The sequence below is a fragment of the Homo sapiens genome, chromosome 9 (assembly GCF_000001405.40).
Source record: "Homo sapiens chromosome 9, GRCh38.p14 Primary Assembly".
NCBI classification, from domain to species: Eukaryota; Metazoa; Chordata; class Mammalia; order Primates; family Hominidae; genus Homo; species Homo sapiens.
The window spans coordinates 137,634,526-137,649,063 of record NC_000009.12 but is presented as its reverse complement, the minus strand read 5'-3'; the positions used below and the strand labels follow the sequence as shown (position 1 = coordinate 137,649,063).

Here is a 14,538-nt window from a genome sequence, read left to right as displayed (position 1 = left end):
ACCCACTGATGCCCAGTTTCCCCAGTGATGAAGCTCAAGCACGATACGACAACCAGGATCAGTCTCTGGCTTTTTGGGTGGCAAATGGATAAGATGGTACAGCTCATAAGCAGAAAAACTAGGAAGACCAGCTAAAGGGTGACTACTATAATCCAAGCAGGGCACTGTGGTGGCTTGGGCCCAACAGTGATGCCATGATAGGGAGAGAAGTCAGGGAAACGGGATGCACCCTGAGGATGAGGCTGATGGGATCTTCTGATGAACCAGCTGAATTTGAGAGGGGAAGGCAGGACTAAGAATGATTCCTTGTTGGCATTTTTACAGACATAAAGGATAAGTTTTTGCATTAACTTGGGAGAACTAACATGTTTATGATGTCCAAGAACAACAAATGTATTTCCAGAGTTCAAGTCTTCTGTTCCAAGTGCTCGAATGCCCTGGCTAGAGTGCAGTGTTGTGATCACAGTTCACTGCAACCTCAACCTCTTGATGACACTCCCGCCTCAGCCTCCCAAGTAGCTGGGACCACAGGCATGAGGCACCATGCCCAACTATTTTTTTTTTTTTTTTTTGGAGAGAAGGAGTCTCTCTATGTTGCCCAGGCTGGTCTGAAACTTCTGGGCCCAAGCAGTCCTCCCACCTCAGCCTCCCAAAGTACTGGGATTACAGGCGTGAACCACCACAACCCAGCTGGCTACTGACTTAATGTATCAATTTTATATCCAGTTCCTTTACTGAATTTCACTGTCTGTGTTTTAACATTGACTCTTTTGGGTTTTCCAGGTATAGTTCATTTCATCTAGGTGTTCAGATTTAATTGCTGAAGATTATACAATATGGTCTCTTACGATTTTGCTGTCCCAAACAGAATATTGCTTGAAGGGCTCTCACTGGCCATATTGGAATAATTTGAGTTTCAAAAGGACAAATGGTGAAAATAGATTTTAACACATTTAATAAGTACAAATTCATTACCTCAGGAGCCATTCTATAGTAATGCCAAAAAAATATGAAAGGGGAAAGAAAGCTCTTCCTTGAGAAAAGTGTCAACAAACAAATGGGGAAGGAAGGGCAGAGTGGTTTCCCAGCATACAGTCAATGCAAAGAGTACGAATGCTCTGAAGAAAAAGAAAGCAGGAGAGAGCGAGAGCAAGTGTCCACAGATGCGGCCGGGCGCGGTGGCTCACGTCTGTAATCCCAACACCTTGGGAGGCCGAGGCGGGTGGATTGCCTGAGCTCAGGAGTTCGAGACCAGCCTGGGCAACACGGTGAAACCCCGTCTCTACTAAAAATACAAAAAAATTAGCTGGGCATGGTGGCGCACGCGTGTAATGCCAGCTACTCGGAAGGCTGAGACAGGAGAATCACTGGAACCTGGGAGGCGGAGGTTTCAGTAAGCCAAGATTGCACCACTGCACTCCAGCCTGGGTGACAAAGCAAGACTCCATCTCAAAAAAAAAAAAAAAAAAGGCAAGAGCAGAGCCCAGAAGGCACAGGAAGTCTGCGTGCAGAGCAGCAACGCCTGGCAAAGACTGCTGCCCCTGAGCAGAGAGCACAGGGGCCACCAAAAAGCAGGGAGAAGAAGCTGGGACCCCATTACAGCCATGGAGTGCAGAAGCTGTGTCATAAAGGTAGAGCCGACAGCGTCTCCTGGGAAATGCCATTCTACAGATGGTGTCTAGCGCTGCGGGGCGAGAGGCAGACCAAGAGAGCTGCGTTTCATGCTGGGCAGAAGGTGCCTATCAGTTTTCCATGCAGTCAACATGGAGTCAACCTGGAGCCACAGCAAAGAGGTCAGCCTGGGGCACGAGCCTGGGGTCAACAGAGGACTGGATAGCTCAGGGAATAAGGACACACACAACACGAGGACCAGCCTGGGACTTCGGGCACGTCAATATTTAGAAGTCAGGCTTAAGAGGCGGGTCCTCCAAACAGGACTGGGAAGAAGGAGGCGGCAGGAAACCAGAAGAGTGCAGTGTTCTAGAAGCCAAACGGAGACAACTAATCCCAGGTTTTTTTTGCTTGAATTATGATAACAAATGCTGGTGAAAGAACCAGTAAGACGAAGGCTGAGAACTAACCAATGACAATGTCTAGGTCAATGGTGACCATAACCAAAAGGGCATCTGAGGAGTAGTGGAGACCAAAGCCTGCTGCAGCGGGCTCAGCCACGTGGGGACTGGAAACAGCACAGGCAGAAGGAAACCTGAGGGACTGGAATTTAAGGTACAGAAAGGTAAGGAAGAAGCTGAACATGAATAGCCGTGTTTTCAAAGACAGTAGGAGATAATGTTAAAGCTGAAAATCAGTTAAGACATCCAACGTTACAAGATTTGCGGCAGTGAGGGGATCAAACCCAGCCTCCAATTCGGCCAGAGCTCATGACAACACACGTGCCTTGCGAGATGTGAAAACAACAGAACTGCGCCACACCTCCCCCAGGCCACCCCAGCCCACATGCACGTGGGCCTCCCCCAGACCACCCCAGACCACCCCAGCCCACACGCTCGGGGGCCTCCCCCAGGCTCCAGGGTTGGGCAGCCAAGGCTGCTTTCCACCTGCTGACTAGCTCCTCTCTCCCACAAAACGGGAGCACTCCTCGGGGCTCCCATTCAGCCCTCTTACTTTCCAGCCCATTGTCCAGAGAATGAGTCCCTCGTCCTCTCCCCGTGGTCACAGGATTCTTGCCCGCAGCACAAACTTGAAATGTTCCTCAGGCCAGGTACCACTGTCCCACAGAAAGACAGGAAATGCCACAGACATCATTTTAAATTTCTAGCATCTACATTTAAAAAGTAAAAATAGGCCAGGCACAGTGGCTCACACCTATAATCCCAACACTTTGGGAGGCCGAGGCAGGCGGATCACCTGAGGCCAGGAGATCAAGACCAGCCTGGCCAACATGGAGAAATCCCATCCCTATTTAAAATACAAAAAGTTAGCTGGGTGTGGTGGTGGGCACCTGTCATCCCAGCTACGCGGGAGGCTGAGGCAGGAGAACTGCTTGAATCCGGGAGACAGAGGCTGCAGTGAGCTGAGATCACACCATTGCACTCCAGCCTGGGCAACAGAGCAAGACTCTGTCTCAAAAAAAAAAGTAAAAATAGAAGTAACTAATTTTAATAAATTGCCTTTAACTCAGTATAGATCCAAAACATTATCAACATGTAACCAATATAAAATAATTAGTACCAAAAGAGTGTGAACTATCGTACTAAGCCTCTGAAATCTAGTGTGCATTTCACATAGCACATCTCAGTTCGATATGGCCATGTTTCAAGGGTCTGAGGCCCACGTGGGGCTGCAGCCACGTTTCTGGAGATCACAGCCACCTCTCCACTCAGCGCTGCAAGTACAAAAGCCAACCCTTCTCTAAGATTCCATTTGGAATCGAGTGAAAAAGACACTTGTGTATCAGTCTGCAGCAGAGATGGAAACACAGACAGCCTTCCTTTAACCACCTACAGGAGGCCCCTCTTCGCTGCTTCTATCACACCCTGTTTATCTCTTTTAATAGCAATTACCAAAGTGTGTAATTGTTTGTCTTTCTCAAAACTAGGACACAAGGGCTTCTGTAAGTACAAGGCAGACGCCATGTGCATTCTCATGTGGCTCCCAGTGCAGAAGCTGGCACACGAAGGCAGTAAGTACTTGTTACAAAAATCAACAAATTAAGGAACACATGAATGGATAAATGGTTCCTGTCTACACTGAGAAGTCAGTTAATTCCAAAAATATTCACCCTGGGCCACAAAAACATATGTAAATCAATAAAGGCGCAAGCCAATTCCGGCCCTTTCTCCTTTTGTATCAGGTTACACAACAATCTATCAAGGCCCTGAAGTGTGCCAGGCAACATTCAGTGGGTTGGGGAACTAATACAGCTAAATAAGCAGGCCGTGGCGGCTCACGCCTGTAATCCCAGCACTTCGGGAGGCCGAGGCAGGCGGATCATTTGAGGCCAGGAGCTCGAGAGCAGCCTGGCCAACATGGCGAAACCCCGTCTCTACTAAAAATACAAAAATTAGCCGGGCGTGGTGACACACACCTGTAATCCCAGCTTCTTGGGAGGCTGAGGCAGGAGGATCACTTGAACCTGGGAGGTGGAGACTGCAGTGAGCTGAGATCGCACCACTGCACTCCAGCCTGGGCAACAGAGGGAGACTGTCTCTTAAAAAAAATAATAATAAATAAATAAATAAATAGAGCCCTAACCTCAAAGAGTTTACAATCTAGCAATTGAGACAACCAAAAGACCAATAATTAAAACACAAAATAAATGTTACATCAAAAGACAAGGTGCTTTGGAAACAATGACTAGATCTCAATCAGGGGCCAGCAAACTACAGACTGCCACCTGTTTCTGTACAAACTGAAAGCTAAGCATGATTTTTAGACTTTTAGATACATAACTCATAAAAAGTATGTGAATGTTTTTGGCCGGGCCCGGTGGCTCACGCCTGTAATCCCAGCACTTTGGGAGGCCGAGGCGGGTGGATCACGAGGTCAGGAGTTCAAGACCAGCCTGGCCAATATGGCGAAACCCCGTCTCTATTAAAAATACAAAAATTAGCTGGGCGTGGTGGCATGTGCCTGTAATCCTCCCAGCTGCTCGGGAGGCTGAGGAAGGAGAATTGCTTGAACCCGGGAGGCAGAGGTTGCAGTGAGCCAAAATTACGCCACTGCACTCCAGCCTGGGCAACCAAATGAGACTCCATCTCAAAAAAAAAAAAAAGTATGTGACTGTTTCAAGAGTGATATGAAACTCAAATTCCAGTTTCCAAACACTTCCAGTTTTACCAGCACACAACCACCCCCACTTGTTTACGTATTGCCCGTGGCTGCTTTCCTGCCATAAGAAAGCTGAGCAGCTTCCCAGAGACCACGTATGGGCCTCTTGGTGGGCCATAGTGCTGCTCCGCAATGCACGGCGGGATCAGCCGTGCCGAGTGCCACCTGGTCACCGTACTGCTACTGCCACTTACCAAGACAGCTCACACCCATCGTCAAAACAAGAAGGGAGGAGCGGCCCTCAAGTGCTGTCCCTTTAATCCACACTGCAACTGCAATTGTATGGCAAAGCTCTGTTTACCACGCAATGACACGTCAGACAGGGGTGAGAAGACAACGCATGCTGCAGATGAAGTACTCATCACAAAGTTCCCAAATCCCTGGAAGGCAGCAGTCAAGTCAAAAAAATTAAGAAGCTCAACAAATCCAAATGAGAAAAACGCAAAGAGTTCCACACCTACACACATCACCATCAGGCTGAAACCACAGACAGAGACTCTCAAAAGCAGCGACAGAGGAGCAACGTGTCATGAACGAGGGTCCTGAGAGATGAGCAATGGTTCCTCATCAGAAACCATGGAGTGCAGCCAGACAATACCCTCAGAGTACTAAAAAACCTTTATACGGCCGGGCGCGGTGGCTCACGCCTGTAATCCCAGCACTTTGGGAGGCCAAGGTGGGCAGATCACGAGGTCAGGAGATCCAGACCATCTTGGCTAACACGGTGAAACCCCGTCTCTACTAAAAATACAAAAAATTAGCCAGGCGTGATGGCAGGTGCCTGTAGTCCTGTAGTCCCAGCTACTCGGAAGGCTGAGGCAGGAGGATGGCGTGAACCTGGGAGGCAGAGCTTGCAGTGAGCCGAGATGGCACCACTGCACTCCAGCCTGGGCGAGAGGGTGAGACTCTGTCTAAAAAAAAAAAAAAAAAAAAAACCTTTATACACAAAACTACCTTCATAAAGGAAAAATAAAACATTCCAAGATAAACAAAAGTAGAGAGTTCATCACTGAAAGACCTAAGAGTCCTTCAGGATAAATGAAAGGACACTAGACAGTAACTCAAGCCCACATGAATAGAGAGCACCAAGGCCAGGCACGGTGGCTCATGCCTGCAACCGCAACACCTTGGAAGACTCAAGTAGGAGGGATCTTCTAAGACCAGGAGTTGGAGACCAGCCTGGGCAACACAGTGAGACCCCATCTCTACAAAAAAAAAATTAAAAATCAGCAGGGAATAGTGGCACGCACCCATAGTCCCAACTACTCGGGAGGCTGAGGCAGGAGGATCTCTTTAGCCCAGGAGGTCAAGGCTGCAGTGCTATGATTGTGCCACTGTACTCCCACCTGGGTGACAGAGCGAGACCCTGTCAAGAGGGGAGGGGAGGGGAATGCAATCAAGAGCGCCAGTAAAAGCAGCTACACAGGTAAAGTATAAAAGCAGCTACATAAGACAGTATAAATGTATTTGTTAATTTATAATTTGTTTTTTCTCCTATATGATTTGAAAGACAATTGCGTAAAGCAGCAACTATAAATCTGCGTAGATGGGCACACAGTGTAATGTAATTTGTATGACAATAACAGTACAAGAAGGGCAAAAGAAATTAAGCTATGCCCAAATAAATATTTCATATAGTATTGTAATATAGTATTAATACAAACTACATTATCAAAAATTAATATACTAAATTGTAATCCCCAGGACAACCAAGAAAACAAATAAAAAATACAGTCAAATAAACAGCAAGGGAATTAAAATGGTATACACTAGAAAATATCTAACACAAAAGAAGAAAGCAATGAGTCAGGCGTTGTGGTACGCCTGCAGTCCCAGCTACTCAGGAGGCTGAGGTGGGAGGATCCTGTGAGCCCGGGAGTTCAAGGCCACGGTGCACTATGATCATGCCTATGAATACTCACTGCGCTCCAGCCTGGGCAACATAGTGAAACTCCATCTCCATGAAGAACAAAAACTAACTGAGGCAGAAAGTAACAAAAAAGACAGAAGACGCAGAAAGCAAATACAAAATCGACAAGTATAAACCCTACCTTTCAGTAATTACATTAGATGAAACGCATTACCTGTCCCACATGAAAAGTAGAGACTGGGGGAATAGATTAAAAAATTTGGGGCCGGGCGCAGTGGCTCACACCTGTAATCCCAGCACTTTGGGAGGCCGAGGCGGGTGGATCACCTGAGGTCAGGAGTTCAGGACCAGCTTGGCCAACTTGACGAAACTCCGTCTCTACTAAAAATACAAAAATTAGCCAGGCATGGTGGTGGGTGCCTGTAGTCCCAGCTACTCAGGAGGCTGAGGCAGGAGAACAGCTTGAACCATGGAGTTGGAGGGCATGGGGGCAGAGGTTGCCATGAGCCAAGGTCATGCCACTGTACTCCAGCCTGGGTGACAGAGCGAGACTCCATGTCAAAAAAAAAAAAAATGTGATCTTAGTCCTATGAGCTTCTTCCTGATGAGCAAGGAGGCCCTTGGGTCCAGACTCTCCTCCCGGAATGACCCCCAAACACCCGTCTCTGCCCCTGCCTGAAAGGAAGACATGGCGCCAGCCCCTGACAGAGGCCAGAGGAAGAGAGGAACAGAACAAGCGGCAACCAAGCCCACGAGGAAGCACAGCACAAAACAGGCTTCAGAAACAGGCTTAGCAAGTGAGCGGCAAGCGGACTGGGAGAGCGAACATAGACAAATTCGGCCAACCACGTTCTTCAGGGCAGATGAGAATTGATTCCCAAAATCCCCAATTTCTGGGTAATAACATTTGTCAGCCATCCACAAGCGTCTGCACTGCTTGGGAGGAGGATGAAGAGGCACTGCATTGTTTGACCAGTGCTGAAGTGACAGAATTTGAAGATATTAAATCAGGTTACAGAATAGGTTTTTATTTTGACGAAAATCCTTACTTCAAAAATAAAGCTCTCTCAAAGAATTTCATCTGAATGAGAGTCATGATCCATCTTCAAAGTCCACGGAAATCAAATGGAAATCTGGAAAGGAAACTCTTCAAGTCAAATGCAGAATAAAGCCAGTAGGAAGAGGCATCCTGAGGAACCAGACAGGTTCTTCACCTGGTTTACTGGCCATTCTGACGCAGGTGCAGATGAGTTAGGAGAGGTCAGCAAAGACCATACTTGGCCAAATTCATCACAGTGCTCCTTGGTTCCCAATATGGATGATAAAGAAGGAGAAGACGAAGATGATGAGGAGGAGGAACTGGAAGACACTGATGAGGAACGGGATAAGGAGAAGATAACTAATAGAACACACATGGATTAGAACCTTCCTTTTTTAAAGCTGTCTCCAGTTCCCGGGAGCAAGGTGCAGTCTTGCTTTTTCCCTCTTGTGCTCACCCAGTTCTTGAGGTCTCTTTTGTCTACACCGTGGATCTCAACTTATCTGGGGGGGAAATACCTTGAGGAGAATAAAATGTGAAAAGAATCTCTACCTCTTTCTGTTTCAAACTCATTTTTATCCCTTCCTATCTCAACAAACTTGTATGGAATCAACATCACCATGTTCTATGGAAAAAAGAACAACTTTCTGCCCCCTTTGCACTGTTGGAAGCTAAAGGGCGCCAGGCCCCTATAATGCAGAGAATTCTAGCATTTTTTCCTTCTCTGCATATTGGGCTCAGAGAAAACATGTATCTACTTGCTCTTGATTAAAAAAAGAAAATTTCAGACCAGGCACAGGGGTGCACACCTGTAATCCTAGCACTTTGGGAGACCAAGATGGGAGGATCACTTGAGGCCAGGAGTTCAAAACCAGCCTGAGCAACATAGGAAGACCCCATCTTTACAAAAAATTTAAAAATTAGCTGGACATAGTGGCAGATGCCAGTGGTCCCAGCTGATCAGGAAGCCAAGGTGGGAGGACTGCTTGAGCCCAGGGTCAAGGCTGCAGTGAGCTATGATCACGCCACTGCACTCCAGCCAGGGTAACAGCAAGACCAGGTCTCTAAAACACACAAAAATAAAACAAAACAAAAATTAAAATTAAAAGCTTTAAAAAATAAGGTTACAGGCCAGGCACGGTGGCTCACACCCGTAATCCCAGCACTTTGGGAGGCCGAGGCAGGCGGATCACCTGAGTTCAGGAGTTCAAGAACAGCCTGGCCAACACAGCGAAACCCCATCTCTACTAAAAATATAAAACTTAGCCGGGCACAGTGGCACATGCCTGTAATCCTAGCTACTCGGGAGGCAGAGGCAGGACAATCACTCGAACCCGGGAGGCAGAGGTTACGGTGAGCCAAGATCGCGCCATTGCACTCCAGCCTGGGCAACAAGAGCGAGACTCCGTCTCTAAATAAATAAGGTTACAGAAGGCCAGCAAAGGGTGGGTCTCAAATGTCTGGTGGGTTGAGTGGGCATTCTGATATCACAGCTCCTCCTCTGGCTGATTAATGGGGAGGTACAACAGACATCCTTGCAGTCTAAGGTGACACTTTAAAAATAAAATCTCTTCTATCAGGTAAGAAAAATACATATATATGATTCAACTGCTGAATCTACAAGATCCGATCTCAGATGGAAAGGACTGTAAGAGACATCCCTTCGATTGAAGATACAAAGAGATTAAAAGGCCAGAAAAAGATATAGTATGCAAAAATAAACCATAAAAAAACTGAAGTGGCTATACTGACATCAGACAAAATAGACTTTAAAACAAAAACATTTATAGAGACAAAGAGGGACATTTCATAATGAGAGAAGTGTCAAAACACCCAGGCAGATGTAACAACTATAAACACACGCAAGATAACATAGTCTCAAAACACGAGGCAAAAACCAACAGAACTGAAAGTGAAAATGTAAAATTCGACAGTACTGTAGATCTCATACTCTACTCTCAATAACTAATAGAACTAGAAAGAAAATGAGAAAGAATAAGGAAGACTTAATACTATCAACCAATTCAATCTGACATATAGGGAACATTCCACCTAATAAATTCATAATGCACATTATTTTCAAGCACTGATGAAACATTCCCCAGGACAGAATATAATACGGGATTTTTTTTTTAATCTAACAAATTAAACACACTGAAACTATACAAAGTATAATTCTGACCATACAGGAATTACATTAGAAATCAACAAAACAAAGAAATCCAGGAAATACCTAAATATTTAGAAATTAAATGACACACTTCTAAAGTCACAAGGGAAAATAGAAAATATTCTGAACTGAATAAAAATGAAAATACAACATATCAACATTTATAGGAAGCAGCCTGTTTTTTCCTAGGACACATGTAACAATAGAAATGTATGGTCTCGAAGTTCTGAAGGCTGGAAGTCCACAATGAAGGTGTCAGTAGGCCTTGTGGTCTGTAATGGCTTTGGAGTGCCATCCCCTGCCTCGGCCAGGCTCTGGGGTCTGCTGGCCGTCCCTGACACTCCTTGGCTTATGGAAGCATCACCCCAGTCATGCGCCACTTCTCCCTGTGTGTCCGCATGCTGTCTTCCTTCTGTGCATGTCTGTGTTCACAAGGCATCCTTTTTTTTTTATGAGGACACGTAAGTCATACTGGATTAGAGGCCTACCCTACTCAACTATGATTTCATCTTAACTAATCTGCAATGACCCTATTTCCAAATAAGGTCAAATTCTGAAGTATGGGGTTTAGGACTTCAACATATTTTTTAGGGGAATGCAATTTATTCTATAACATAGCTAAAAGCATTAAGAAACTAGTAAAAAACTAGGCCGGGTGCAGTGGCTCATGCCTGCAATCCCAACACTTTGGGAGGCCAAGGCGGGTGGATCATTTGAAGTCAGGAGTTTGAGACCACCTCGGCCAACATGGTGAGACATCATCTCTACTAAAAATACAAAAATTAGCCGGGCGTGGTGGCGGGTGCCTGTAATCTCAGCTACTTGGGAGGCTGAGGTGGGTGGATCACCTGAGGTCAGGAGCGCGAGACCAGCACAGCCAACATGGTGAAACTCCGTCTCCTAAAAATGCAAAAAATTAGCTGGGCATGGTGGCGCACGCCTATATTCCCAACTATTCAGGAGGCAGAGGCAGGAGAATTGCTTGAACCCAGGAGGCGGAGCTTGCAGTGAGCCGAGATCGCACCACTGCACTCCAGCCTGGGCAAAAGGGCGAGACTCCATCTTAAAAAAAAAAAAAAGTTGCTTCTCTGAAAAATTCAACATAATTCACAAAACTTTAGCTAGAATGACCAAGAAAAAGAGAAAAATGACCCCACTTACCAAAATTTATTAGCGTCAAAGGGGAACACAAGCCCTGACAGAAATAAAAATGGTCACAGGGAACATACGAGCAACTGCATACCGGAAACTAGATAACCTGGATGCCATGAACAAATTCTCAGAAAGACCCACAACAACAAAGATAACTCAGGAATAAACAGAAAACCTACACACCTAGAACAAATAAGGAAATTAATAATTTTTAAAGCTTCCAACAAAGAAAAGCCAAGATCCAGATGGCTTCGCAGGTGAATTATACCAAACATTTAAAGGCGTGATAACCAGTGCTTCACAAACTCTTCCCAAAAACGGAAGAGGGAAATACACTTCCCAACTCATTCTACGAAGCCAGTATTACCTTTGCACCAAATACACAAAGATAACACACAGAAAACGACAGGCACTTGCCTGTAGTCCCAGCTACTCAGGAGGCTGAAGTAGGAGGATCACTTGAGCTCAGGAGTTCAAGACTGAAGTGAGCCATGATGGCACCACTGCACTCCAGCAGGGCCACAGAGCAAGACCACCTATCTAAAATAAAATTAAAAAATTTTTTTAGGCCAGGTGCAGTGGCTCACACCTGTAATCCCAGCATTTTGGGAGGCCAAGGCAGGCGGATCACCTGAGGTCAGGAGTTCAAGACGAGCCTGGCCAACATGGCAAAATCCCATCTCTACTAAAAATACAAAATTAGCCTGGCATGGTGGAGCATGCCTGTAATCCCAGCTACTCGGGAGGCTGAGGCAGGAGATTCACTTGAACCCAGGAGGCGGAGGCTGTGGTGAGCCAAGATTGCACCACTGCACTCCAGCCTGGGCAACAACAGTAAAACTCTGGGCTTGGTGCGGTGGCTCACGCCTGTAATCCCAGCACTTTGGGAGGTGGAGACGGGCAGATCACGAGGTCAGGAGATCGAGACCATCCTGACTAACACAGTGAAATCCCATCTCTACTAAAAATACAAAAAAATAGCCAGGCGTGGTAGCAGGTGCCTGTAGTCCCAGCCACTCAGGAGGCTGAGGCGGGAGAATGGCGTGAACCCAGGAGGCAGAGCTTGCAGTGAGCTGACATCGCGCCACTGCACTCCAGCCTGGGCGACAGAGCGAAACTCTGTCTCAAAAAAAAAAAAAAAAAAAGAGTGAAACTGTCTCAAAAAAAAATAATAAATTTTTTTTAAAAAGAGGTACCTACAGACCAACATAATACCACTTATGAACAAAGATGCAACAATCCCCAACAAAATACTAGCAAATCAAACTCAACAAGATTTAAAAAGGATTAGATAACATACCCAAATGGATTTAGGGCAGAAACGCAGGGCTGGTTGAGCATATGAAAATCTATGTAAGACACCATATCAATAAAGGAAAAAAACTACATAATCATGTCAACAGATAGAGACAAACATTTGACAAAATCCAAAACCCCTTTATAATGAAAACACTCAACAAGCTAGAAATAAAAGGGAATTCCTCAATCTAGTAAAGGGCATCTATGGAAAAACTCATAGCTAATATCATACCTAATGGTGAAAAACTAAAAGCTTTCCTCTAAAAACAGGAATGAAGATGGGAATGTCAGCTTTCACCACTTCTATTCAACATTTTACTAGCCAGGGCAATTAGGGAAGGACAAAAAAGTGTCCAGATTTAAAAGGAAGAACTACAACTCTATTCCCAAATGACATAATCCTATATATAGAAAATCCCAAGGAATCCACACCAAAAAAAATTCAGCAAAGTTGCAGGATACAAGATCCAATATATAAAAATCAATTTTATGTCTATACAATTGCAATCTAAAAATGAAATGTGGCTGGGCATGGTGGCTCACGCCTATAATCCCAGCACTCTGGGAGCTGGAGGTGGGTGGATCCTGAGGTCAGGAGTTCAAGATCAGCCTGGCCAAAATGGTGAAACCCCATCTCTACTAAAAATACAAAAATTAGCAAGGCGTGGTGGCATGCACCTGTAATCCCAACTACTCAGGAGGCTGAGGCAGGAGAACTGCTTGAACCCAGGAGGCGGAGGTTGCAGTGAACCGAGATCGTACCACTGCACTCTAGCCTGGGCGACAGAGCAAGACTCCCCATCTCAAAAAAAAAAAATTTTTTTTAATTCTATTTATAAAAGCATCAAAAAGAATAAAATACTTGTAAGAAATAACTACAAAACTTATACATTAAAATATTGTTTTTTGTTTTGTTTTGTTTTTTGAGACAGTCTCGCTCTGTCGCCCAGGCTGGAGAGCAGTGGCACCATCTCAGCTCACTGCAAGCTCCGCCTCCCAGGTTCATGCCATTCTCCTGCCTCAGCCTCCCGAGTAGCTGGAACTACAGGCGCCCGCCACCACGTCCCACTAATTTTTTGTATTTTTAGTAGAGACGGGGTTTCACCATGTTAGCCAGGATGGTCTCGATCTCCTGACCTCGTGATCCACCCACCTCGGCCTCCCAAAGTGCTGGGATTACAGGCGTGAGCCACCGCGCCCAGCTCTGAAAATGTTAAAGAAAACTGAAGGCCGAGCGCAGTGGTTCATGCCTGTAATCCCAACACTTTGGGAGGCCAAGGAGGGCGAATCACGAGGTCAGAAGTTCAAGACCAGCCTGTCCAACATGGTGAAACTCCGTCTCTACCAAAAATACATTAAAAAAAAAAAATTAGCTGGGCGTGGCGATGGGTGCCTGTAATCCTAGCTAGTCGAGAGGCTTAGGCAGGAGAATGGCTTGAATTCAGGAGGCGGAGGTTGCAGTGACCCGAGATCACGCCACTGCACTCCAGCCCAGGTGACAGTGCAAGACTCTGTCTCAAAATAAATAAATAAAATAAAATAAAATAGAAGACCTAAATAAATGGACAAGCATCCGGTGTTCCCCAATTGGAAGACTTGCTATTAAGATGGCGATATCCTAAACTGATCTACATATTCAACACAATCCCTTTCAAGATCCTGAAAGGCTTTTTTGCAGATATTGACAACAAGATCCTAAAACTCATACGAAAATCCAAGTGACAGCCGGGCGCAGTGGCTCACACCTGTAATCCCAGCACTTTGGGAGGCCGAGGCCGGCGGATCACGAGGTCAGGAGATCGAGACCATCCTGGCTAATATGGTGAAACCCCATCTCTACTAAAAATACAAAAAAAAAAAAAAAAAAAAAAAAATTAGCTGGGCATGGTGGGGGCGCCTGTAGTCCCAGCTACTCGGGAAGCTGAGGCAGGAGAATGGCGTGAACCTGGAAGGCAGAGGTTGCAGTGAGCTGAGATCGCACCACGGCACTCCAGCCTGGGCGATAGAGAGAGACTCTGTCAAAAAAAAAAAAAAAGAAAGAAGAAAGAAAGAAAAGAAAGAAAAAGCAAGCAAGCAAGCAAGCAAGGGACCCAATCTTGAAAAAAAAGAAAAGAAAAGAAAAGAAAAGAAATGAAAGAAAATGCAAGGGACCCAATCATGAAAAAGACAAAGTTGAAGGACTCACATTTCCTCATTACAAAACTTATTACACTGCTG

The 14,538-nt window shown here is 45.6% G+C and overlaps 1 protein-coding gene and 1 pseudogene across 24 annotated transcripts in view, besides 1 other annotated feature; one reads left to right on the top strand and one right to left on the bottom strand.

Annotated features, from left to right (window-relative positions):
• The window catches only part of EHMT1 (euchromatic histone lysine methyltransferase 1), a 217,123-nt gene that overhangs the window by 187,064 nt on the left and 15,521 nt on the right, over positions 1-14,538 (bottom strand). For 3 of the 24 annotated variants that reach the window (XM_047423872.1, XM_047423875.1, XM_047423878.1), the window contains exon 2: positions 2,626-2,728. The exons of 20 other annotated variants lie outside the window; for them this stretch is intronic. In XM_047423872.1, the coding sequence (XP_047279828.1) occupies positions 2,626-2,637 (12 nt within the window). In that variant the 5' untranslated portion in view covers positions 2,638-2,728. Of the gene's footprint in view, positions 1-2,625; positions 2,729-4,985; positions 13,172-14,538 lie in introns of those variants that run through there. One more of the 24 variants, XM_047423873.1, reaches the window with a different exon arrangement.
• Positions 1,691-1,760: an enhancer, noted in NCBI's record as "active region_29357". NCBI's record gives its function as "activates an Ori minimal core promoter by ATAC-STARR-seq in GM12878 lymphoblastoid cells {active_cell/tissue: GM12878}" and the evidence as "EXISTENCE:reporter gene assay evidence [ECO:0000049][PMID:35858748]".
• Positions 7,357-8,242, top strand: SETP5 (SET pseudogene 5; annotated as a pseudogene).